A 27952-nucleotide genomic window follows, 5' to 3' on the forward strand; every position below is an offset into this window, starting at 1 on the left:
TCAACAAAGAATGCTTGTTCTAAACACAGTGCTTTTGTAGCCAAGATAAATGGGACAGGTCTCAAATGCCAAATTTGATACCCCCAAACTCCCAAGCCCTCAAAAAGCCAGGAGAGATTATTCGGGCAAGAAAGTGAATTATTATTTTATAGATGATATGATTAATAAATCTATCAGACAATTATTCAACCTTCCATTTAATTTTGACTTTCTAGGTGTGCATGGCTTTATGAAAATATTTCAAATGTCTACATTTTTAAAAAGCAAATGAATGAAGTTCTTATTGCCTGTGTAAATTTTGTAAAAGTCTTGACTTCAGAAAATATTAACTTTATATACTAAATAACTTACTTTCATACTCCCATATATGAAATGGTTTAGGTTTACATAAAATTTGTATAAAATTTTGTAAAAATTCACAATGAACTGTTTACATATAAGTCTTCAGGGAAACACTATGTAATGTAACATCAACTTGAAGAGAAATCTAAATGTGATACACGCACGTTGTATATATCTCATAGTTTTGTATTTATTTTATATTTTTGCATCAATTGTATTTTATGCTAATACATTTTATTTCTACTAGAGAATTGTATGGATGGCATTTAGCAACTGACTCCTTTTGGCCAATGATACATCACCAGGAATGTCAGGCGACTATCAGGTGATGGGCAGGCAGTTGTTAACTGACTCTCTAAAATAATAATTGGTCACAGCCAGTGCCAGGGAAAGGCTGTCTCCCAATAGATAGTAAAAACCTGAAACTGGGGATCAGCAGCTTTGCAATAAAATATCAGGAGTTTGATGAGTGGGCCCAAGCATGTGCATTAAGAGGCAAAATGGTGGAGTTTAACTGGTGCATGACTTTCTAAAGACATCTGGCTGGTAAGGAAACAACGCCTCAAGTGAGCATGCGTACAACTCCAGGAAACACACTGCGCATGCTCCCTTCCCTTGCTCTAGCAGGTTACTGCCCATGAGGACAGCCCACCCCAATAGAAAAACAGAGGAGAAGGGATGCAAGACCCTGGAAGTATGACAACGTATAAAACCCTAAGGCAGGCCGGGCACGGTGGCTCACGCCTGTAATCCCAGCACTTTGGGAGGCCAAGGTGGGCGGATCACGAGGTCAGGAGATCAAGACCATCCTGGCTCACACGGTGAAACCCTGTCTCTACCAAAAATACAAAAAAATTAGCCGGGCGTGGTGGCGGGCGCATGTAGTCCCAGCTACTTGGGAGGCTGAGGCAAGAGAATGGCGTGAAACCGGGAGGCGGTGCTTGCAGTGAGCCGATATCGCGCCGTTGCACTCCAGCCTGGGCAACAGAGCGAGACTCTATCTCAAAAAAAAGAAAAAAAAAAAAAAAAACCTAAGTCAAAGGTAAAACGGGGCATTTGACTCTCTAAAGTCTCCTGCTTGGCCCTCTTCCAAGTGTACTTTATTTCCTTTTGTTCCTGCTCTAAACTTTTTCATAAACGTTCACTCCTGCTCTAAAACTTGCCTCAGTCTCTTTCTGCCTTATGACTCTTAAATTCTTTCTTATCAAGAGGCAAGAATTGAGGTTGCTGTAGACCCATACAGATGTGCTGCCAGTAACATTAACAGACCTTTACAGAAAAGCGTGGGGAGGAGAATGAAAAAAAAAAAAAATACGGAGAGTAGAGGGAAGAAAAAGAGGGTGGATTACCTGGTGCATTTGTTTCTAAGCAAATCTGCTGATTTTCAAGAGGTTTGCTCTAGATTTCAAGTCTGAAATTTTATAGAATTGAGAAGTCTGGAATTAAGAAAAACGGTATAATCAATGTGATTTTGAAAGGATATGCATTTTGGGGCATGTCTGTCAAGCCTGAATCATTTCACCAGGGGATTTTTCAGCAGGCAGCCTTGCCTTTCTTTATTGCTAAAAGTCTGTCTACACTGGTGGGAAGCAGCAGCCAAGACATGCCAGTTCTACTTACTTCAAGTACTGTTAGAGGGATTGCCACCTTTTCCTGTGAAGGCATCTGTGGAAAGAGGGATCTCTTGAAGACAAAATTCTCTTCTTGGGTTATGTTAGAAGCATAGGAGGGTGGTTTAAAGGATTGCTTTTACTGTGTTTCTTTTTTCACTGCATCTCAGAGTTTTGCATTGTAAATTATGATTTGTACTTTCTCAAAGACCAGTTGCATAATCTCTCACTTTCTTTTTCTAGTTGCAGATTCTTGCTCAGGCACTCTCTTCATAGGTAAAGTTTACATTTTAGTGGTCTATTGGCCACACTTAAAAAAATAAGAGTTTGTTCTTTCTCATTAAGAAGTATACACCTTTACTTTAGTATTTTATATTTCTTACATTAGTTATACAGTATTTTGTTTTGTACTTTATTTCATAATGGTTGACATAAATGAGTTTCTGAAAATAACAGAACTGTTGAGCTTCTAAACATAACATATTGTGGTTTCTATTGGATATATTTGTGATAGATTTTCTCCTTTTGCTTTCCTTCTCATGAAAATTAATTTTCCTTTTTTAATCCCGAATCACTCACAGTTTATATGGATACAATGAAAATTTTGTTTGTCTTTTTGAAAGTAAGACATTAAAAAAATCATAACCCCACTTACCAAATATGATTATACTGAAAAACCACAACAAATATCTAAAACATCTATTTTTAAAATTTTGAAGAAAATTTCAAATTTCACCTCTAATACATTTCTGTGAAACAAAAATGGCATGTATTGGTATCTCTAATTATTTTATTTTTTAAAATAAGTAATTACTTTATAAGTGGGAGTTCTAACCAATCAATTCTCAATTAATTAATCTAATCTATTATGTTTGGACTTGATATGGTTTCACTCTGTGGTCCCATCCCAATGTCATCTCAAATTGTAATCCCTGAAATCTCCACAAGTCAATGGAGGGACCCAGTGGGAAGTGGTTGGATCATAGGGGGTGATTTCCCCCATGCTGTTCTCATGATAGTGAGTGAGTTGTCAGGAGATCTGATGGTTTTATAAGGCAGTTTTCCCTGCTCTTACATGCTCTTCTGTCTCCTGCTGCCATTTGAAGGAGGTACTTGCTTTTCCTTTGCCTTCTGCCATGATCATATAAGTTTCCTGAGGCCTCCCCAGCCATGTGGAACTGTGAGTCAATTAAGCCTCTTTCTCTTATAAATTACCAGTCTCAGGTATTTCTTATAGCAGTGTTAGAATAGACTAATACAGGTCTGTGCACTAAACTGTTTATAATTCTTAATTCAACTATTTTAATCAATGCTTAAATAATTGTAAAAAAAAAAAAGAAAAAACCTTTTATTGGAACCTATAGTTATTATTTGCGTGTCACCCATAAATAGCTGATGCCTACTCAGATTTCAGAATTACTTATGCATTTTGGGGGCAATAGGGGATGGAAGTGGGTACACCCTTATTCTTATTAGTGTATTTGAATCCCTCTCTCTTTTTTTTTGTCTTTAAGACAAAAATGTAAATATTGCCATTGACCAAGGATGTGATTAAGAATATACTTCCTGTATTTTATGTAATTCTTTCAGAATTCATACCACTTTTATTCATGCTCTCTCTTTGAATAACCCTTGCCTTTATTAGTAGTAGACTATAAGGGAAAATCATTGTTTAGTATTATATCTCTGATATAATTAAGTTCCTACTTTTCAAGAATACTGTTTCATAAAATTAAGTGCTTAATCAACTAGTGTTTTGACTACTTTAGATTTAAGCAGCAAACTGAAGAATTGATTTAGAATTTCATTTGGCTCATGAATGGGTTTTCTTTCTCTCATCACTAAAAAATAGTCACTCCTTGGCAATCATTACCCAAGCTCAGTGACCAGACTTTCATTCCTGGTCACCCTACCAGGTAGTTAGATTTGTTTGTTCAGGCATATGATGCACCACATTGATGCACTGCCTGTTGTTTAGACCAAAGATAGTCAATGCTTTCTACTCTTTTCAAGCCTCATTAGATGCTTGTAATCCTAGTTAGTCAACTAAAAGACAGTCTTCTTTTCTTTAATTAATAACTATAACAGTCTGCATCCCAATCTTTAAATTCTATAAATATTTAAGATGTATAATAAATAAGGATGTATGTAAGAATCTTCTCAAATATATATGTAATTATTGCATAGATTTATTAGAATTTCAAAACTGAATGTGAACTAATTCATTTTTGCTAATGATATAAACTGTATGGATTTTCCAGTGACAGACTGCTCACGGATCCAGACAGAAGCAGAATCATTTCTGTGTAATTCTAGACAGTGATTTTCAACAACAAAGCTTTGTTATCTTAATTTACATGTGGGGTTGGGAGAGGGATGTGGAACTGTCTGTTTGTGTTTTGTGGGCGTGGCTTTGTGTGAAATGCAGAGCAAAATGAGAGGATGAATAAAATTACTACAGGGCCAGGCTTTGTGGCTCATGCGTTTAATCCCGCACTTCGGGAGTCCAAGGAGGGTGGATTGCTTGAGCTCAGGAGTTCCAGACCAGTTTGGGCAACATGGCTAAACCCCATCTCTAGAAAATACACACAAATTAGTGGGGTGTGGTGGCATGTGCCTGTAGTCCCCGCTACTTGGGGGGCTGAGATAAGAGGATCTTTTGATCCTAGGAGCCAGAGGTTGCAATGAGACAAGATGGCACCGCTGCACTCAGCCTGCGCGACAGAGCAAGACCCTGTGTCAAAACAAACAAACAAAAATTACTACAGGATTAAACATTTATAAGGATTCTTGTGAAGATATTATGTTATGGCATTATTACAATTATTTTCATACTCTTTCAAAACAATTTTAGAAAGTGGCAGATTGAACATTTGTTCTCAGTGAGTATCACTGTATCTAGTACCATGGATACATACAACGTGCAAAATAAATTATCATTTAATAAATTAATGAGAAGAGGAAGAGAAAGGGATTTCTGGCTGAGAAGACAACAATAAGGTGAGGAAGAGTTTGTGTGTTGGGGAATAGTGAATAATACCATATGATTGATCCATAAAGAAAGGGAGATGAGCTGGAATAGCAGGTAAGTTTGGTCTAGATCCCTGTGCATCTTCCATTTCCATGCTAAGCTGTTGCATCTTGTTTCTGTTCTCACACATAGAGCTATTCATTATCACTGAGAAAGATCATGACTTCTCTCAGGTTTTAGAAAAAAAAAAAAAGGCAATGTTTGTACAGTAAAAGAGAGTTTGAAATGATAAGAGGCAAAATCTTTAACTATACATGTGATGGTTTTTCTGCTTTATTTAGTCTATTTCCTGCCACATTTCTTCCTTTATTTTCTTTCCTTTTACCATCTTTCCTCCAAATAAGTAAAAAAAAAACATTACTTCTATTTGGCTCCCGCATTTAAGCAGCTGAATCTTTCTACAAAACTGTGTCTTAAGAAAAACTGAAAAAGAGAGGAGAGGAGAAAAGGAGAGGAAGGAAGAAGGGGGAAAGGAGGGGAGGGAAAGAGAGGAGAGAATTTTGATCAAATCCATCCCTCCAGCACATTTTTTTTTTTTTTTTTTGAGACTGAGTCTCGCTCTTTCTCCCAAGCTGGACTGCAGTGGGGCGATCTCGGCTCACTGCAAGCTCCGCCTCCCGGGTTCACGCCATTCTCCTGCCTTAGCCTCCCCAGTAGCTGGGACTACAGGCGCCCGCCACCACGCCCGGCTAAGTTTTTGTATTTTTAGTAGAAACAGGATTTCACTGTGTGTTAGCCAGGATGGTCTCCATCTCCTGACCTCGTGATCCGCCCACCTTGGCCTCCCAAAGTGCTGGGATTGCAGAAATGAGCCACCGCGCCCGGCCCACATTTCTTTTATATTTCCTTCTCTTCTTTCCATTGCTCTCACTCTCTTCCTTCCACCAGGCCCTCTTGTTCTTCATCACATTCTCCCCAGTTTGACCCTCCAACTTTGGCTGAGAAACTTTTGGTTCTTCCTTCTGCTCTCTCCTGCTTAAGCTGATTTAACACACATCTTGCTAAGCCCTTCAACTCCCCCTCTACTGACTGCTCCTTCTTCTGCCCATTCTCCATTTCTCCATCATAAAAGCCCAGAAACTTCTCTGGTAAAGATCAAACAATCCTTAAAGGCTGAGAAAAATGAGGAGAGAGTATATTCTCCAGCTACAGGCTTTGGAGGAGGAGAACCGAGAACATTTATACATAAATTAGGTTTGATGTGATGGTGGTTTAGTTTTAAAAAAGTCTTTTATTTCCCCCCAAGACTTATTTATGCCTTTATGGTCCTTCTTCTTCTGCTTAAAATAACACCATTCTGGCAAAATACTGATATTTGCCTTTTGCCAAGACATGAAAGGGTTAGGATACAATTAAGTGAAAAAAGAAAAAAAGACCCTGAGTTACAGAACTGTTTGTGTTGTTGCTCAGTTTGTTATGTTTAATGCGTGGAGGGATTTTTGGTGGCTATTTATGAAAACAGAATTATTCCAAATGGAGTTAATATGAACATCCGTATCCATGATTTTGATATTCCTCATAAGCTGAGAAAAGTTGGGCCTTATGAGTAACTGAATGAGCCTCTAGAGACGTATGTAGACGATGGCTTTATAAAGTGGTTTGGATGATGACTCGGGTGGAATGCTGCCTCCAATTTCAGGCCCATTATGGCTCAGGGGCAATGATAATGTGCACATAAAAGCTACAGATTGTTCCAGAATGGGTACTATAAAGACAGCCTTTTCCTAATCATGTCACCATTTGTGTCTGATGGCTTGGATTACAGCCTGGATGTTCAAAGGCAAGACTATAAATGGAAAATATTGAAAAGTATGTCATCATAAGCCAGAGTGATCTTTAAAAAATGGTAATCAAATCACCCCAATTCCCAACATAAAAACCCTCAATAGCTTCCAGGGCATTTAAGAAAACATCCTTCAACCTGGATTTAAAAATCCTGTGCGACTTGGCTCTTCTCTGCCTCTTCAGGGCCATCTCCTCCAGGTCTCACCCTTCACATACCAGATCCTCACAGCCTTTTATCTGGTGCTAATAGTTGCCAAGTTCATTCCTGCTTTATGACCCTGCATTGCATTCCCTCTGTCTGAAATGTTTTCTCAAATAATCTTCCCAAGAGGATTGGATTGGTTTTCTCATTAGGGTCTTAGGTATTTGTTATCATCTGCTTAACACATCCTCAAGCAATTTCTTATTTGTCGATCTCTCTGCTCCCCTCCCAACCTCCCCCACACACTCCCTCATCCATGAATCTACCTTTTCTCCCATCTCTGAATCTATCTTAGTCATGATCAAAAAATAAAAACAGTCTTCTGGGAATACATGCCCTTTTCTTCATTTTTGCATGAGTCTGGGAGTATAAAACTGATCAAACAAGACATTTTAATATTTTGTAATGTGCTTTAAATTCTAAGTAGGACTTCTGAGCAATGTAGTTTTATCTTGTTCTCCCTAGAATAGTGCAACAAAGCTGTGCCAACAAATGAATTCCCTGGACTGACCCTGACATTTCTTCCTAAACCTCTGTTTTCTCAGGATGTCAATTGCACACTGCACAGATGCCATGACCTAAGATAGCCAGAGTGAGGGCCTGCACCTGCCCCGGGTCCTCTGTCCGGAAATGGTTTAATCCTTACCTGCTCCTGCAGTTGTTTTGTTTTCTTCCAATCTCTGTGATAAGTACAGCCGCTTGTCCCCGCCCCCACCAACCACTGAGGGAACATCTAACTATTAGTCTAAAAGAAGATGCTAAGGAAATTAGCATCTGGTTTCATTTTAAATCTTTCTTTATCTGAATTTGCAGGGAAGACATGCTTATGGCCAGAGTGAAAGCACAGTAAGAATCAAACTCAGGATAAAAATAATAAATACATAAAACAGGTTTGGTATTACGGTGGTTTAGTTAAAAAAAAAAACTTTTATTTTCCCCAAGACCCAGTTTGATATTATGGCTTGTTTTCATTTACCTCCATTAATAAATGTGTTCTATATTATAAAATAAATTTGGTAGAGAATGGAATATCCATGAACACACACGGATATGCATATGAAATTTTAATTGGCCCGGCGCAGTGGCTCACACCTGTAATCCCAGCACTTTGGGAGGCCAAGGTGGGTGGATCACCTGAGGTTGGGAGTTCAAGACCAGCCTCACCAACATGGAGGGACCCTGTCTCTACTAAAAATATAAAATTAGCCTGGTGTGGTGGTACATGCCAGCTACTCAGGAGGCTGAGGCAGGAGAATCCCAGCTACTTGGGAGGCTGAGGCAGGAGAATTACTTGAATCCAGGAGGTGGAAGCTGCACTGAGCCAGGATCATGCCACTGCACTCCAGCCTGGGCAACAAGAGTGAAACTCCATCTCAAAAAAAAGAGAAAAAGAAAAGAAATTTTAATTGATAGGGTCACAGCCAGAAAAAGAAAAGGAAGAAGAGCATTTATAATTTTTTTCCCTCAACCATCCATTCTAGCATCTTGGTATTTTCTTTTTTTTTCCTGCCAGTGTTTTTTAACTCAGCAACTTAAAAAAGTAATTAATGGCATATTAAAAATACCTTTTAGCATTTTTCTATTTAATATTCAGGATTTTTATCTTCTCATTTATTGTAATAATTTTAATGACTATTATTTTTAAATACTTCAGTATTTCTTCAAGTAGGATACATGTTCTCAATTACTCCTCAATTAATATTACCATTTTATTTCCAAATAGCTTTTAACTTTTCATTGGTCAGCTTATTTTCTAAACATCATGATTATATATTTAATTTAAATGTATAGAAAATATTAGCCCTAAGAGGAAAAATTCATATATAGACCTGAAGGTATTTTATTTGAGATTCTAGGAATAAAAATGGTCATTGAAACTTGAGTAGTGATCATTTTGCTATCAAATCTTATAAAGTTGCTCTGATATCAAAATGCCATAATACAGCAGTATATATACAGAGAGGAAAGAAATTTTTCTAAGAAAAATCAGTACTCCCACTCTCAGAAATATAAAAAGATTCACTTTACAAGTCTCTTCTTATGTTTAAGAGATCTTGAGAAAGCTGATAAATCATATACTCAAACAAATAACCTTCCTTTGTTAAGGAAGGTTACATGATCTTGGGTCAAATTATTGTTAGTGCTGACCTAACCCCAAGACAAAAAGAATTAAACTGTGGGTCACTTTCAGCCTATGATGTTTTTATTTTCTTAATTGAATTCATTGTGAACATTTCATGTGAGTTTTAGTGAAAAAAAAATCTGGAGTTTCAGCATTTCTAGAAATACTACATTCTGAAGCAATATTGCATTTGTGTTTTTCCTTTGTAACAAACTGCTGGGGCTGAGTGGAGGCTGCCTCTTAGAAGACCTGTTTGCCCTAATCCTTACCCTCCACATATCTCCTGTATGCACTTTATTGAGTTAGAGACCTTTGATAATCTCCACAGTCCCAATTTTAGAAAGGAGAAAACTGAGGCACAGAGAAAGTAATGAGTTGACTAGATCAAATGGTTAGTCATTGGCAGAGCCGAGGCAGATTCCAAATTCAAACACTGTCTAATTTAAATGTTATTTAGAACTTTAGTACTCATGCATAAAATTTATTATTTCAAGTGAGTGTCTGTTGAGCATGTACTATGTGTCAGGACCTGTTTTAGGGGGTAGAGGGACAATGATCAACAAGACAGGAGTCATTGGTCTTCTGGAGTTTATGTTATAGGGTCTCGTGGATGGACATCAAAAAGGAAATCAATGAACAAATAATAATTCCTGAAGAGGGTAAGCCAGAATTCCAGAGAGGTGAGGAATCAACACCTCCCTCATCCCAGGAAAGTCTAGCCAACTGTTATGGAAGAGGAGGGCAGAACACGTCAAGGAAGCAATGCTGAGAGTAACTGAGGGTGCTGATAGAGGAGGGTGGTGTTTTGAGATGAAAGATCTTTTTTCTTTCTCATTTCCTTCCTTTCTTTCTCATTTCCTTCCTTCCTTTCTTTCCTTCTTTCTTCCTTTCCTTTCCTTCCTTTCTTTCTTTCCTTCCTTTCTTTCTTTCCTTCCTTTCTTTCTTTTCTTTCTTTCTTTCTTCCTTCCTTCCTTCCTTCCTTCCGTCTTTCCTTTCTTTCTTTTTCTCCATTGGTTCAAAGAAAAGAAGTGATTAAGTGTCAAAGAGTAAGGAAGCTAAGATGAAGATTCCTAGAAGCCTTTTTGGTAAGACAAGTTTGCTAGCTCCTTTGCTTACTTTGCTGCTCTGATTGGTCGTGGTTAATATAATTGTGCGTTTCCTTTTCAATGTACCATCTTGAAGAACAAGGGTTCTTTCAGAGGGTCACCAATCACAGCATGTTTTTAGTAATGATATTTCAACATTCCAATGTTGCTATTAGTGATGTTTTAGCAATCGAATGAAATGATCAATAAAACAGTGTTCTGCAGCCAAACAAAGTGGTCGGATGAAATGAGAACAAATGGCGCAGTTGGAGAAAAAGGCTATCAAAACTAATATATGATGTTAGAAACAAAGGCCGTTGTTCCCTTTACCTTGGGAATATGTAGTGACTGGAACGGAATATACAGGTGCTTTCGAGTGCAGGTAATATTTTGTTTTTTGACATGGCTGCTACTTGCAGAGATGTGTTATATTTCTAAATAATCCTTGAAGCTATACATGTAAGATATTGGCATGTTTTTTAATGTAAATTCTTCTTCAGTTAAAAAGTTTAAACAAAAAATAAAAACTGGCAAGTAATACAGACATTATTGAAATGAAAAAAAATCAGGGGAAAAAAGGCTTTTCAATACTTTAAGGAGGTCCCCAAAATGAGTTGACTTTACATAAATGGAGACATAGAGAAAGGGTATCCAATGGGAAAGAACAAGGTGACCACAGAGGAAAACTAAGGAACAAATGCCAGGATCAAGAAAGACCCAGGGTAAGTTTGTCAGGAGATCTGCTCAACTTGGGACTCTCTAGCCCAGAGCCTGCAAAAATCTTCACTTGGGTTTCACTTGGCAGTCAAAGCCCCAAATCTCAGTGATAGCTGACTTTTAATTTTGCTTGTTGTTTTATTCACTTATATACCCATCCCCTAGAACAGTGGTTCTTAAACTTGAGCATGCCTCAGAATCACCAGGAGGGCTTGTCAAACCATAGATTCCTGGGCTCTGCACAGAGTTTCTTATTTAGTAGGCCTGGGTTGGCGGTCTGAGAATTTCCATTTCCAACAGATTTCCAAGGTGGTGTTGATACTGTGTATCTAGAAACCTTTGAGAGCCATTGCCTAGAAGAATATTATTTTCCCTCTCTTCCTTGATCTAGCTCTACCTTACCTTTATGACTCAAAAGAAAATCAATAAATTTCCAGATGACCGGAACTTAAAGATTGGTTAATCTCACCCCCATCAAGTCTTCATCACCTAGACTACAATGACACAGTTCCTTTCTCCTTTTTTCTGTTTATTTAATTTTTGTTAATCCCTCAAGACCTATTTCCAATTGCATAAGGCTTCTACCATTGGAGCAGACTTTAGTGATTCCTTCCTCTGAATGTATGCAGCACATATCATAGATGCACAGACAACAATGAACACATGGCCTTTGTAGAATTTTGTCTGCATATCCTTCCTGCTACCAATTATGTTGTCTATATACCAATCACACAAACACTCCCCAACACACACATACACACACATACACACACACACGCACGTGCACATGCAGACGCAAGTTTTTCTTGATCTTTACTTGTATTTCTATTGGGTGCCAGTCACATGGTTAGTCACATAGCTTATGACACTTTAATTTTTTGCAATGGCCTTTGACAACACTTTAACTTTACATTTTCCCCAGTGCTGGGCAGACTGACTTTTTTCTAGTAGGTGTTAGCTACCAGAGGGCAGAGGCTGTTTGGTGTTTATGTTGAATCCCCAGAACCTAGCAGAGTGTCTGGCACAGGTTTTATGCTTGAAAGATACTTATTGAATGAATGATGCAGTCAATTTTTGCCACAGAAGTACTGAATGTAAAATATACCTCTAAACATAAAATTAGTATAGGTGATATTGGAGTTCAGTGCTAATTTAAACAAGAATTTAAATTGCTTTTCTATTTAAGTCAAATCATATAATGCCATTGAGAGTACACCTACAGCTCAGCCAAGCATCATGATTTCAATTTTCCAAAATGCAACTACCACTTTAATGTTAAGGACCAGATTCAATCCTTATGTAAGCTTCTGGTTTAAGTCATACAATTCTCCCACCATCCATCCTCCCCCAGTCATTTCATCTTTTAGAATTGTATTTTTGAGTGCTTTACAGGAGAAAGAAAAGTCAAAAGTAACTCTTTTGCATTGGTGCATAAATGTTTCACTTTTATGGATGTGGCAGCAGCTTGTTGACAGTATGAAAATAGAACTAGTAAGAGCAGAGCTTCCAGATGCCACATATGATAACTTAATACATGAGACAACTAAGTAGATTTTATTTTAGATTGTGTTCTGCTATTCTTTGTTTTCTCTCTTCATTATCTGTAACACCTACTCCATGATTCAATGCTAATATAAGATTCAGTAGTTTAAATATCAAGCAACTATTAGATATCAGCATTAATTCATTTGATTCACAACTATTTTTTGAATGTCTAATATGTACCAGGCACCATTCTATGTGTTGGAGATACAGTATTGAAAAAGATAGACAAAATCCTCTCATGGTGAAATTTATATTCTAGCAAAGGAATATACAAACAATTGAATACACCTACACATAAATACATACATAAATAAATAACTTCAGGTCATGACATATGTTATAGGGGAAAAAGGATCAGTGGCAGGGAAGGTTGAGATGAACTACTCTAGGTTATGTGGACAAGGATAGCCTCTCTGTAAAGGTATAATAACATTTTATCTGAGAAGTAAGTGTTGAGAAAACTCCACCATGTGAAATATATGCAAAGGAAAAGAGCAAACATGGAATCACCCATGAAGACATCATGAGAGATTACAGGGTGCTTTACTCTAATGCTACTGTTGAATTTCTAAAAACTTTGCTTTATCACAAATAAAGATAAAAAATAATTACTTAGGCCAGGCGCGGTGGCTCACACCTGTAATCCCAGCACTTTGGGAGGCCAAGGTGGGCGGATCACAAGGTCAGGAGATCGAGACCATCCTGGCTAACACAGTGAAACCCCGTCTCTACTAAAAATACAAAAAATTAGCCTGGTGTAGTGGCGGGTGCCTGTAGTCCCAGCTACTTGGGAGGCTGAGGCAGGAGAATGGCGTGAACCCAGGAGGCAGAGCTTGCAGTGAGCCGAGATCGCAACACTGCACTCCAGCCTGGGCAACAGCAAGACTCCGTCTCAAAAAAAAAAAAAAAGAAAAATTACTTAATGGAGAAGGAAGTGAGGGCCTAAAACAATTTAGACCTATAGTAACAGAGTTTTTTTTTAATAGATTTCCAATAATGAAGGTGTTTCTTAAACACTCACTAGGGATGGCATTCAAAATAATTAACAGCCAACCAGAATGGACACGGGCAGGGATGCTGCCTGGAAGTTAGCTTTAGTTGTATTGCTATAAACATAATATCAATAAGTAAATATAGCACTATCTGGAAATAGCTCTGTAAATGAATAACAGCCTTTTGTATTCTATCAGAATCAGAGTTACTACCATCAGCCCCATAATTTTCATAGCTCTTTGTTACACATATTGTTCACTGCCATAAAGCATAAAGCCATCTAAGAGAAAACCCAATTCAAAGGTTGCCCAATTTCCTATACACAGTACTAGGTCCCCAACTCAATCATAGTTCCAGATGGAAATTTCAATACTAGCTTGGATATTGCAAATTGTATTTTCTAAGTAATCAATTACATTGTTGCCGTTTGCTATGGTGTGAATGTCTTCCCCAAATGCATATGTTGGAAACTAAATTCCCAATGCAACAGTGTTGGGAGGTGAGGTCTATTAACAGGTGACTGGGTCATGAGCACAGAGCTTATGAATGGATTAATGTCATTATTGAAGGAGTGAGTTTTTATTATCATAGAGTGAATTACTATAAAAGGCAATCTGCCCCTCATGCTTTCTGTCTGTCTTCTGTCCTTCTGCCATGAGATGACACTCACCAGATGCCAGCAACATGCTCTCAAAATTCCCAGCCTTAAGAAGCTTGAGCCAAATAATCCTCTTTATGAATTACCCAGTTTTTGGTATTCTGTTATAGAAACTGAAACGAACTAAGACACTGTATTAGTCAGTTTTCATGCTGCTATAAAGAAATACCTGAGACTAGTTAATTTATTTTTAAAAAAAGATTTAATTGACTCACAGTTACACGTGGCTGGGGAGGCCTCAGGAAACTTACAATCATGATGGAAGGTGAAGAGGAAGCAGGCACTCTGTACACAAGGCTGCAGGAGATTGAGAGAGAGAGGGTTGGGGAGAGAAAAGGAGGAACTGCCAAATATCTCATGTCCTCATATTTTAAAAGTAATTATGCCTTCCAACAATCCCCCAAAGTCTTAACTCATTCCAGCATTAATTCAAAAGTTCAAGTCCTCCAACAGTCCCCCAAAGTCTTAACTCATTCCAAAATTAACTCCAAAGTCCAAGTCCAAAGTCTCATCTGAGACAAAGCAAGTCCTTTCTGCCCGTGAGCCTGTAAAATCAAAAACAAGTTAGTTATGTCAAAGACACAATGGGGGTACAGGCATTGGATAAGTTCTCCCATTTCAAATGGGAGAAATTTGCCAAAACATAGAAGATAACGGGCGCCATACAAGCCCAAAATCCAGCAAGGCAGTCATTAAATCTTAATGTTCCAAAATAATCTCCTTTGACTCCATATCTCACATCCAGGGCATGCTGATACAAAGGGTAGGCTCCCAAGGCCTTTGGCACCTTTGCCCTGTGGCTTTGCAGGGTTCAGTTTCCACAGCTGCTCTCTTGGCCTGGTGTTGAGTGCCTGTAGCTTTTCTAGGTGCATAGTGCAAGCTGTTGGTGCACCTACCATTCTGGGGACTGGAGGATGGTGGCCCTGTTCTCACAGCTCTTCTAGGTAGTACCCCAGTGGGGACTTCGTGTGGGGGCTCCAACCTCACATTTCCCTTCTGCACTGCCCTAGCAGAGGTTCCCCATGAGGGTTCTGCCACTACAGCAGACTTCTCTCTGGACATCCAGGCGTTTCCATACTCCCTCTGAAATCTAGGCAGAGGTTCCAAAAGCTCAACTCTTCTCTTCTGTGCACCTACAATCCCAACACCACATGGAAGCCACCAATGCTTGGGGCTTTCACCTCAGAAGCAATTGGCCCCTTTTAGCCATGGCTGGAGCTGGAAAGGCTGGGACAAAGGGCACCATGTCCTGAGGCTGCACAGAGCAGGGGTGCCTTGGGCCTGACCCATGAAACCATTTTTCCCTTTCAGGCCTCCTGCCCTATGATGGGAATCTCTCCCTTGAAGATCTCTAACATGCCCTGGAGAAATTTTCCCCATGTCTTGGCTATTAACATTCAGCTTCTCATTTCTTATGCAAATTTCCACAGCTGGCTTGAATTTCTCCCCAGAAAATGGGATTTTCTTTTCTATTGCATGGTCAGGTTGCAAATTTTTCAAACATTTTCACTCGGCTCCCGTTTTAAACATAAGTTTCAATTTCAGATCATCTCTCTCAAATTCAAAGTTCTACAGATCTCTAGGGCAGGGGCAAAATGCTGCCAGCCTCTTTGCTAAAGCATAGCAAGAGTGACTTTTGCTCCAGTTCCCAATAAGTTCCTAATCTTCATCTGAGACGACCTCAGCTTGGACTTTGTTGCCCATATCACTATCAGCATTTTGGTCAAAACAATTCAACAAGTCTCTAGGAAGTTCCAGACTTTTCCACATCTTCCTGTTTTCTTCTGAGCCCTTGAAATTGTTCCAACCTCTGCCCAGTTACTCAGTTCCAAAGTCACTTCCACATTTTCAGGTTATCTTTTTAGTGGTGCCCCACTCTGCTGCAGTACCAGTTTCCTGTACTAATCCGTTCTAACACTGCTATAAAGAAATTCCTGAGACTGGGTAATTTATAAGGGAAAGGGGTTTAATTGACTTACAGTTCCGAATGGCTGGGGAGGCCTCAGGAAACTTACAGTTATGGCAGACAATGAAAGGGAAGCAGGCAGCTCCTTCACGAAGTGGCAGGAGAGAGAGAACAAAGGAGGAACTTCCAAACACTTTTAAAACCATTAGATCTTGTGAGTACTCAGTCACTATTATGAGAACAGCATGGGGGAAACCAACCCCATGATCCAATTACCTCCCACCAAGTCCCTCCTTTGACGTGTAGGGATTAAAATTCCAGAGGAGATTTGGGTGGGGACACAAAGCCAAACCATTTTGTTATCACATCTCATTATTTATTCATTTTACAGATATTTATTGAATCCCTACTGGTGGTCAGACCCTGTTCTGGGAACCAGGGTTGCAATAGTGAACACAACATACTAAATGCCCTGTCCTTATAAAGCCTGTATGGAAACAAGAAAGAACAACAATGAACAAGATACACAGGTGAAATGCAAAGCATTTTCTGTCATGATAAGAAAAATAAGTAAATAAGAGAATGGGAGTATGAAATGTTGATGGGAGATTAAAATTTTAGATAGAATGGTCTTAAGAAAAGGGTGAATTTGCAATCAAGACCCACAAGGAGATGAAGAATCTAGTTGCATATGTGTTTGTAGAGGGAGCATTTTAAGCAGAAAAAAAAAATGACAAGTGACTGAGGTAGGAGTGAGACAAGCATATCAGCTTATAAGGGACACCAGTGAAGACCAAGCTGACTACACAGGGATGAGGCCAGTGGGAGACAACTCAATGAAGCAAAAGGAACAAATCATCTGTGACTTGGAGGACATAACAAATCCTTTAGCTTTTGCTCTGAGTAAAACAGGGAGCCAGTGAAAGTTCTGGGTAGAAGGGCAACGGTGTTATAACAGCATTATAACCTTGTAACAGCATTACCTTATAATGAGATGACTATGGATATAACTTTGTGCATTTTGTTATCATTAGTGTATTTCTATCTCCGCTTCCTTTCCTTTGAAAGAATCTTTGTCATCATAAAGAAATTTATATATCTTCTTGAATATTTCTACACTCCCAAAATATAATCCTTAGGGTAGCTGTGGTTTCCAAGTCTGTACTCTAAAAGATATCATTTGAATAAAGAATCTCATACATCCAATCCCATTTCCTTCTTGATTGAAGTATTTCTTATTCACCAGGCGTTATGCCAAGTATTTAAGGAAACACTTGATCCAGGCAAGAATTTTGAGTAAAACACAAATTCTAACTAAAAATTCTAATGCCTATTCTTTCTAGATTCCCTTCAAGATACAGAATTTAGAGAGATATAAAAATTCTAAAATTGAAAAAGGTACCCTTCAAATATCACAAACATTGATGAATTTTTTTCTGGAGTCAATGTAAATGAGATCTGTCTGAGGGAGGCATGAAAGATGGATTTGCTCTTCCTATAGGTTGGTCTCCTTGGAAGTAACCTGCAGAGACCTGACCAAGCAGCAACCCTATAAAAATAGAACAGAAATAATATGAGACATAGAAGGAAACTTAACTAAAATAAATAATAACAACAACCATAATAATAATTATATGGAGAAAATAGGAATTTTGATTTACTAAAAAAACTAGTTAGACACGTCCTGAAATTTCCAAGACAAAGAAAAAGAATTTAAAATTCAGTCAGGAAGAGCTCCTTTTTTTTTTTTTTTTTTTTTTTGATATGGAGTCTTGCTCTGTCACCAGGCTGGAGCACAGTGGCACAATCTCAGCTCATTGCAACCTCTGCCTCCAGGGTTCAAGTGATTCTCCTGCCTCAGCCTCCCAAGTAGCTAGGATTACAGGTGCCCGCCACCATGTCTGGCTAATTTTTTGTATTTTTGGTAGAGACAGAGTTTCACCGTGTTGGCCAGGATGGCCTCGATCTCCTGACCTCGTGATCCACCCTCCTTGGCCTCCCAAAGTGCTGGGATTATAGGTGTGAGCCACTGCGCCTGGCTGAAGAGCTCCTTTTATGCAGGTAAAACTATAGACTGGTTTTACATTTATTTTCAATTCTAAACAATAGAAGAAGTTAGCATAGAGTGTAGTGAGAAAAGTAACCAGTGAATTTGTCCTTCCTATGTGAGATGAGTGAATATTTCAGACAAGTAAAAGTTCAGAAAGTAGGCCTTTCTTGTAGCATTCTGGCAAGTGGGGTAGGGGAGACATGGGATTTAAGTAACTTTACCTTAATAAGAGATTAATAAAACAGCTTCTATGCAAGTGTTGGTATAGAATAACTGCTGGAATGTAATGAAACCAGATAAACATAGAATTGAGATAAAATACAGTTATAAAATTTAATTCAATATTAAGTCTATGTCATGTCTAATAGGCATTTCTGTATCTAATGTGAAAAACATCCCTATCTCTGCTTTCGAACATCACTTAACCCAAATACCTATACCTAACAAATGAGGCACAATCATAAAAGTACAGGAAACCCTCACTTTTGAGTTTAGATGGGTACTAAATAAAGTCCTGGCAAATCAAATTCAGCATATTATTAAAATAATACATTGCAAACAAGCAGTATTCATTACAAGAATGCAAGAGTCATTTAATGTTTACAAAATCTAATACAAGTCTAACTTGATTAGATCAAAAGTAAAAAGAGAATAATTTTATCCTTTCAAGAGATCGTACAGTGTTTAGTAGAACTGAGAATCTAGGCCTGATCAAATGTATATGAATACATAATACAGTTAATTTTCTCAACATAATAAAAAATAGTTGTGTCAAGCTACCAAGCAACGCTATTCTCAATGGCTCAATAACATGGAGTCAACAGATATTTACTAAGCTCTGCCTAAAATCTGAGTACATAAGAAAGAGTCAAAGAAGATGGCCTCTGCCTTTCATGGGGTTTACATGAATTGGAAGGTGAGTTTTGAATAAATACCCAAAATGAAGTAAAGAATCTAGTTGTGTGTTTATGTGTGGGGAGAACATTTCAGACATAGGTTGAAAGCAGTAAGGTAGAACTGACAACTGAATGAAACACCAGTCATTATGAATTAAGTCAGAGGAAAGGCTTCTATCAGTTCTACCACTTTCTATCACTACTATTGGTCAATGCCCTGAAAATTTTAGTAATGGCCATTGAAGGAGAAGGACAAGGAGGAGGAGGAGAAGGAGGAGAAGAAATGTAGTAATCAAAATTTTAAAATGGAAGAAAATTATAATGAATTGCAAATTGTATCATTAGACCAAAAAAAGCTATCAAGATTTGTTTGAGTCTCTGGGTAGTAGATAGGGAGTTATAAATAAACATTTCAAAAAAATAATATATTTTGTGTACCAGCAATTAAAAAACACTACACAGCTTAATGGAAAACAAATACCATTTTGAATGCTAACTAAATTACAAAATACTTAGGAATGAACTTAGAAAGCTTAGCAAACCACTATGAGAAAAATCTATGGAACATTATTGAGGAACATAGAAATAACCTTAATAGACAAAAATAGGTAAATAAATAAATAATTCCCTGGAGAAACTGCTCAAATTGAGAATTTAATTTAATTTAGAAGTAAATTAAAAGAAATGTGAGCAAAATGTTTAATGGTATTTTGTAGGATGTTGCAATTCTTTAAACTTAACCTAAGTTAGAAAGAAAAAGTGAATTCATAACAGACAACTTGGAAAACAGGACTAAACAGTGAGTTTTAGAGTATTAGACGTGATAGCAGTGTATAATATCCAAAACAGGATGGTATTGGCAATACAAATAATAAAATAAAAAAACTATGATTTTTAAAAAGCCTAACTTAAAAGGGTATATAAGAATTCAGAACACTAAGATATTTTAAACTTGGGATTTAGATGTTACAAAAACTGGTGGAGGAAGAGAAATTCATAAGTTGATAGAAAAAAATTGTAAAAATAAAAATAACTGATTTTTAAAGCATACACAGATCTCAAGAGCATGTAGAAACAGTTTCTGATCCCTGAAATCACTTCTTTTCTAAGGCAATAAGAGAAAAATAATGCCACAAATTCTCTTCATAATCTTTTCTATAATAATAGGATTTTGCAAAAGTAATTGCAGTTTGTGCCACTGAAAGTAATGGCAAAAACTCAGTTATTTTAGCACCAACCTATAGGTTTTACTCTGCATATTGAACACAAATCTTTACTCTGGGAATCTTAGTTCCCTGGCTTTCTATTGGGAAATATGTGGGATAGGTGAAAGATCATGTGTTTTTATGTTTCAAAACTTTGAATCAAATTTCAAAAATAAGTTGGTATATACGTTATCTTAGGAAAGTTAACATTTCATATCTTCAATGTCCTCATCAAGATAATTATGCTAATTATACCTAATTTCAAGTATATAAAACATGAAGTTCATTTATAAATTAGAAAATTCAGCCAGTTCCTTGCAATTTCTAATCCAAATATTACTGTCTCCGCTTCGTTTAAGTGCTTTAGTCATTCTTATATGTGTCTATGCCAAATATTCTTAGTTGATACTCAGTACTATCTCTGCCCTTTAAGTTAGGCTTGATATTATGGGAGCTAAAAGCCTCAAAACCGTTTAGCAAATTCTTTTGTCAGCAGAGTTATATTTAAACGCCATCAATGAGAAACATCCAGTGATATTTTGAAGATGGAAAAGGAGGAACTGTTTCCCACTGTGGCAATACATAGACATGCAGGCAGTGGCTGACATGAGGTTTGCCTTTACTTCCAGTTAAGGCACCTTCAGTATCACAGTGGGCTGAAAATCCATGTAAGCACTTCCTGTGGTTCTAAAAATCCCTATTTCTTTAAAAATAGAAGCAATTTTCCTTGACCTTTATGAAACCAAATAAATATTGTTTGGGTAAGATACTAGTAGTGTCATGTCGCTGCTTTTAAAACCTTATTCTCAATTATAATTGTTCAAAAATAATTTTAAACTATTATTTTTTAAAATATATTAACCTAGATTAGTCTATGATATTTAACTCCTCTGCATTCGATGATGACAATTCTATGCTTCTTTGAACTTGCTCCTCTCTTAATATCCCTCAGGCTACAACACTGAACTTCTTCAGCTTTGCTGGTTGTAATTTCCTCATTATCTCCCCTGGTTTTTTTTAATCCTCTTTTTTAAAGGTATCATACACATTTCAGTTTTCTCAGCCTCCTGCCAAAGAGAAGCTGTACTCAACTTGAATTGCTGCCAAGTTTAGTGAAGTCTCCCAACTCGCTGATTTTAAGCAATTAAAGAGAGAGATGTAAATATCCACATCTGCCAATCAATTGATTTTTTTTTATGTTCTGGTATATTTTGCAGATTTGATGGGTGAAGTTTTTCTCTCCCCACAGACTGCAGCTGTGAATTTGCAACTTTTGAATTTCTGTTCATTTGCCATTTGAAAAAATTTGTTTGGAAAAATTAAAACTTTTTATGCTGAAAAAAAAATCAGTCAGCATTCTTTATAAGTACCATATAAGGCAAGCATATGGCAGGAGAAAGACCAGTGATCTGGTTGATATGAATGGGCTCCAAAGGGCTTTAAACCATACTCTATGCAACTATTTCTTCACTCTGACACCTGCATGGGTGGATTTGGCCATAAAATTGGAAGTGCCCAAAAGCAATGAAATTCTAATGTCACAGGGAACGCCCCCTTTATGCATCATATTTCTGCACGCTTAATTGTATACTGCAAATTTACACCCATGTCTATACTTGAATACTTCTACTTATTACTGTTTTGCAAATAACTGTATTTTATTTTTGTGGCCAAAAAAACCAAACTTCTGTAGACTCTTACTTGGATCTGATTATTTACAAACTTTTCTCATATGAAGCATTGTTTCATTAAACAATGTTTTGTTCAGCACATCCAGTGTGATGGTGTCTAGAACAAGATGCAATCCCTGACTCAAATTGCTGATATTTCATGTTGTAATTCACTTATCTCACAAGTGCTGTGTTTATTCACCTTTATGTGGTTTACCATCACCATCTTCTACCTTCAAAGAACATATTTTGGGGTCACTGTAATAGAATCTCGCGATGGAGACAGGGGCTAAAGGATCTATGTTAGGAGTGCCTTAACATTCTTCAGGTGGAACTGAAAACTAAAGAGAAATGGTCCAAGGGAAGATGGGGAGAAAGCCATGTTGGTCACAAACCTAATAGCTTAGGTTATTCAAATATTGTTGAACAGCTGAAAAATAACACCTACAAAAGAGGTTTTAAGCTGTAAAACACATCAAAAATCACCAGTAAGATCCAATCTACCAGCAGAAAATAATGCAACAAATTCTATGTCCAATTCTAAAAAGCAGCCCCTGTTTTTTCATTCTATAAAATCTTAATATCTGGTTGCAGAAAATATTCCAATAGGGAAAGATAAGACCATTAGAAGATGAAACAAGCTAGTTAACATCCTTTTTGCATGTCTGTGATGGCTAATATTGAATGTCAACTTAATTGGATTGAAAGATGCAAGTATTATTCCTGGGTGTGTCTGTGAGGATGTTGTCAAAGGAGATTAACATTTGGGTCAGTGGACTGGGAGAGGCAGACCCACCTGCAATCTTGGTGTGCACAATCAAATCAGCTGCCAGTACAGCTAGAATAAAAGCAGGCAGAAGAACATGGAAGGATTAGACTGGTTAAGTCTTGTGGCCTCCATCTATCTCCTGTGCTGGATGCTTCCTGCCCTGAAACATCAGACTCCAAGTTCTTCAGCTTTTAGGCTCTTGGACCTAATAAACCACTGGTTTGCCAGGGGGCTCTCGGGCCTTCAGCCACAGACTGAAGGCTGCACTTTCAGCTTCCCTACTTTTGAGGTTTTGGGACTCAGACGGGCTTCCTTGCTCCTCAGCTTGCAGACAGCCTATTGTGGGACTTCACTTTGTGATTGTGTGAGTCAAATCTCCTTAATAAACTCCCCTTCATATATACATCTATCTTATTAGTCCTGGCCCTCTAGAGAACTCGGACTAATACAACCTTCTTACTACGTATGAGAGAGGGAAGATGCCCAGGGACTGGCTATGGATGCACCCTCATTTGCCTGTATCTAAGGTTTTCACCAAAACTGTAGGAATGAGGTGTCCATTGTGATATAGTTTGGATCTGTATTCCCACCCAAATCTCATGTTGAAATGTAATTCCCAGTACTGGAGGTGGGGACTGGTGGGAGGTGATTGGATCATGGGGGGATGGTTTAGCACCATCCCCCTAGTGCTGTTCTCATGATAGAGTTCTCAGGAGATCGAGTTGTTTAAAAGTGTGTGGCACCTCCCACCTCCTCTCTCTCTCTTCCTCCTGCTCTGGCCATAGCCTGCTTCCCCTTCACCTTCCATGATGACTGTAAGTTTCCTGAGGTCTCCCCAGAAGCCAAGCAGATGCCAGCATCATGCTTCCTGTACAGCCTGTGGAACCATGAGCCAACTACACCTCTTTTCTTTCTAAATTACCCAGTCTCAAGTATTTCTCTATAACAATGCAAGAACAAACAGTACACATAGCTAGAAAATGCCTTTACACATGGATAGAAATTGCCTGTAGGTAGAGAATCAAGGGACTCAAGGAAAGAGATAAGAAACCTTATCAGCAGAATAACCACACAATCAGCAATCCTGATGGAGAAACTGACAATAATTGGGTAAATATTTCCATGAAGCTGAAGAGGACAGAATAATGAATCTCAGAAGGGAAAACGAGGCCTGCCCTATAATACTGCCAGAGTAGAGGGAATAACAGAGGGCACAGAAGCAGCTATTAACTTTGATGACTGTAGAGAGAAAGCAGTGGGCTTGGAAGTTTGGACACAGAGCTAGACTCCTGTTCCACAGGAGGAATAAATTCTTTCCAACACAGGATTGCTTGTTTGATTTGTTTTTGTAGCCTGCAAATAAAACATTCCATATGTTTCTGATTGTGAGTGAAATGGAGGGGAAAATAAAACATCCTACTTTGAAAGTGGGATCCAAATGTTCTCAAATGTCTCCTTCCATGGAAGCGTATTCTATCACAGTCTCTAGAAATATTAGGATGGACGAGGTGCAGAATTCATAAAGAATTTCTACAGGTATCTAAGCAATACAATTATTTTCTGAAGCTTATCTAAACTCTTCTGGTTTTTTGTATGGGGAAGTATAATTTAAAAATATTTGAAAATAGATTGATTGCATATAATGTTCATTTTAAGAATTGTGATGACTAACACTTCTCATTAGTATGTGAAAATGCAAATTTCAGATAACACCAACAGACTCATGCTTAGGACATAAGTAAAATCGAAAACAGGGAAATGCTGAGACATCAGAAAAGTGCCCCATGTAGTCATTTTCCTTCCCCTTCAACTATTTTATTTTCTTATTTGAGTAAAAAACACTTATTGCCAATAACTGGGGAGACAGGCTGTATTATATTTTAATGTGTTTTTAAAATTTTTATTTTAGCTAAAGATATTGCAAGCCACTTTCTAGTCCAAGATTGTCTAAGTCCTAACTCATGCCTTATTCTCATTTTTATGGATTGCAATCTTATATGAAAATAACTTATTTAAAAATATTTTGGTACATGATGTGTGGGAAGGCCCTAACTTGATTTTTTCCAAGTAACAAAATTGAAATCATCTATCCCTTTACTAATGGCTTTCAATGGTTCTCTAAGGACATCAGATGGAAGTTAATTATTTCAGGGAGCATTTCCAGGCTGCTGCTGTTGGTACACCAATCTGGCTGTCAAATCTTGGGTCTTCACTATCTGTTGCCCGGGCCGGAATGCAGTGGCACGATCTTGGCTCACTGCAACCTCCACCTCCTGGGTTCAAGCAATTCTCCTGCCTCAGCCTCTCTAGTAGCTGGGATTACAGGCACCTGCCACCACACCCAGCTAATTTTTGTATTTTTAGTAGAGACAGGGTTTCACCATGTTGGCCAAGCTGGTCTGGAACTCCTGACCTCAGGTGAATCACCTGCCTCAGCCTCCCACAGTGTTGGGATTACAGGCGTGAGCCACTGCACGTGGACTCTATTCACTGTCTTTTTATAATGCTTTTAAGCAGCTCACTTAAAAAGTCTCACTACGTTGTCTTTACAATGTTTTATCTTAGTTGTATGTTACCTCAAAGGTCTGATAAAAATATTTTGTCCAATTTTAAAATATTACTTGGCAATACAATAATTAAATTAAAATTTGTGACTGACTAGAGAATATTGATAAAAGTAAATGCTGTAGCCAGGCTGGTCTCCTATGGCTCCCAGTATAGCCAGGAACATTCCATTTAGGTTTCACTCTGTCTTGGACACTCTTCCCCCAGATATTGACGAATCTTGTTCCCTCTGTAGTCTCAGTTTTCCCTGACCACCTATTATCAAATAGCACTACCCTTCCACTCCAACCTCTTGAACGGCTTTATTTTTTTGCATATCAATTATTACTGACATTTCTGTTATACGATTATTCGTTTATTTTTTGTTTTTCCTGAAAGAACCACCATGAAAAAGAGGAATTTTGTCTGTTTACTGCTAATTCCTCAGCTCCCAGAATAGTGCCTGGCACATCAAAATATATATATATTTGAGACAGAGTCTCACTCTGTTGCCCAGGCTGGAGTACAGTGGCACAATCTCGGCTCACGGAAGCCTCTGCTTCCCGGCTTCAAGCGATTCTCCCACCTCAGCCTCCCGAGTGGCTGGGACTATAGGCGTACGCCACCATCCCTGGTTAATTTTTGTATTTTTAGTAGAGATAGGGTTTTGCCGTGTTGGCCAGGATGGTCTCGAACTCCCGGCCTCAAGTGATCTGCCTGCCTTGCCTTCCCAAAGTGCTGGGAGTACAGGCGAGAGCCAAAGTGCCCGGCCAAAAGTTCTTAATAAATATATATTCTAGAAACAAGTCACTGAACTTGAATGCTCCCTAGATTCACTGGACTGTGATTCCTAAATGAGGTCGCTTTAGTCATCAGATCCACAGCCTCCACATTTACAACAGCAATTCTCTAAATCATTCCTGATTTTCTCTGCATGGGTATATGAAGTGGGCAGTTGCTTCACATTTAACTATTCACTGCCTGCAACTCAAATATACTCCATTCCATGTAACTCTCCCATAGGTCTTTGGAGTCTATGCCTGAAATGACCACACTTAACCAAGAATAGATTTTTCCCTAAGAGTGTTTCCAAGAGACCATCCTAAATTTCAAACAATAAACATAATGTTTATGAAGCACCTATCAGAAATCATGCTGGAAATATCCTGTAAATAAATCATCTCTTTTGATCTTCACAACAGTCCTACAAGGTATGTTGCATCAATTCCTACATTATTAGATGGAAAATCAGAGAGTTGAAATAAGTGGTTCAAGTTGACATAATTAGCATGGAGCTTGTCCAAGATTTGGACATAATGAACAAAGTTCAAAGACAGATGTTTTTCTATTTTCTCTTTCTCTCTCTTTCTTCTTTCTCTCTCTTTGTAAAGGAGCTATTAACCACAATTAGCCAAACTGAAAAGTTTGAGGGCACAGCCAGCAGGACTACCCTAACTTTTGACACCAACTGAAAGTTCAGGAAGTTCCTCAAATGACCCATTTACTAGAAGGACTCTCAGAACTCACTGAAGTCTATTATACTCACAGTTACAGTGTATTACAGGAAAACAATACAGAATAAAATCAGCCAAAGGAAGAGACACCTAGGTCAGAGTCTGAGAGGGCTTCAAACATGAATATTCCCTTGTCATCTTCCATGGAATTAGGATACGTTATTTTCCCAACATTAATGTGTGACAATATTTATAGAGTATTGCCAACCAGATAAACTCTGGAGCTTCTATGTGCAGAGATTTCACTGGAGTTCCATGACATGGGCATGACTGATTCATTGCACACGTGGTGAATTATATTGTATGATCCAAAGCCCCTACCTTAAATCACATAGGAGCTCTTTGTGGTGTGGTTAGGCCTCCTCCTAATATTATCAGGTCTTACCAACTCCACCCTGAGCTCCTTGCCGCAAGCCCCCTCCCTAAACAAAGGTGCTTTTATCAGATATGAAAAGATCTCCTAGAAGTTGAGGGCAATTGCCAGACCTCTCTTCCAGCAAGGCCAAATTCTTTACTACACAGAATTTGATTCATTTACACAGCTTTCAACATCTTTTAAAGACAATATGGCCCATTTTTATGACTAGGGTGCTTTGCCAAATTGTACAAACAAACTTAAACTTGTGGACTCAGAGAAGTCCTGCAACAGACTGGAGACAGGGTGACACACACACACAGAGACCACGGATTTGATCATCATATCAGCTGTTACACCAAGTGCCGTGCTCCATCTTTCAAAGCTTGTTATAGGCTTGGCAGGTTTTTGGAGTTACTAAGCTGAGAAAAACCTCAGATGACAGCAAAAGTGAAACATCAGGACTGTAAACTACTAATTGCCAATTCCGTATGTTTGCAAGGCAAACAACAGGGAGGAATATCAGTGGTGAGAGATTGCTGAAGTTTGTACTTACGTAGCTAGTAGAAAAATAAAATTATGTAAAATCATTCTTCTCTCTAATTCTGTCCCCATCCCCAAATCAAGAATCCTTTATGTAAAGATTAAGGAGCCCTGAATTTAAATCCTCAGTCTTTCAAGCATTTGGTCTATATGTTTATGTAACCTACCTAACCCTGTCTCTATGCTTTGGGAATATGAGAATGATAGGTAAAGTAATATTATACATTATAAAAATGATTGACTTACATTCTTCACCAGCCACATATTTGTTGCTCAGCATGTTGTTCCATCTTTTTTATTCTGTTTTTCCTTTTTCTTTTCTTTCCTTTTTTTTTTTTTTTTGAGATGGAGTTTCACTCTTGTTGCCCAGGCTGGAGTGCAATGGCGCCATCTCGGCTCACCGCAACCTC

The 27952-nt window shown here is 38.1% G+C and overlaps 3 annotated features.

The window, feature by feature from the left end:
• Positions 685-1185: an enhancer, noted in NCBI's record as "H3K4me1 hESC enhancer chr14:87621174-87621674 (GRCh37/hg19 assembly coordinates)". NCBI's record gives its function as "activates a minimal SCP1, AML or CMV promoter by ChIP-STARR-seq in primed H9 embryonic stem cells {active_cell/tissue: H9 hESC(primed)}" and the evidence as "EXISTENCE:reporter gene assay evidence [ECO:0000049][PMID:30033119]".
• Positions 2658-3237: an enhancer, noted in NCBI's record as "NANOG hESC enhancer chr14:87623147-87623726 (GRCh37/hg19 assembly coordinates)". NCBI's record gives its function as "activates a minimal SCP1, AML or CMV promoter by ChIP-STARR-seq in primed H9 embryonic stem cells {active_cell/tissue: H9 hESC(primed)}" and the evidence as "EXISTENCE:reporter gene assay evidence [ECO:0000049][PMID:30033119]".
• Positions 15869-16567: an enhancer, noted in NCBI's record as "OCT4-NANOG hESC enhancer chr14:87636358-87637056 (GRCh37/hg19 assembly coordinates)". NCBI's record gives its function as "activates a minimal SCP1, AML or CMV promoter by ChIP-STARR-seq in primed H9 embryonic stem cells {active_cell/tissue: H9 hESC(primed)}" and the evidence as "EXISTENCE:reporter gene assay evidence [ECO:0000049][PMID:30033119]".

The sequence above is a fragment of the Homo sapiens genome, chromosome 14 (assembly GCF_000001405.40).
Source record: "Homo sapiens chromosome 14, GRCh38.p14 Primary Assembly".
NCBI classification, from domain to species: Eukaryota; Metazoa; Chordata; class Mammalia; order Primates; family Hominidae; genus Homo; species Homo sapiens.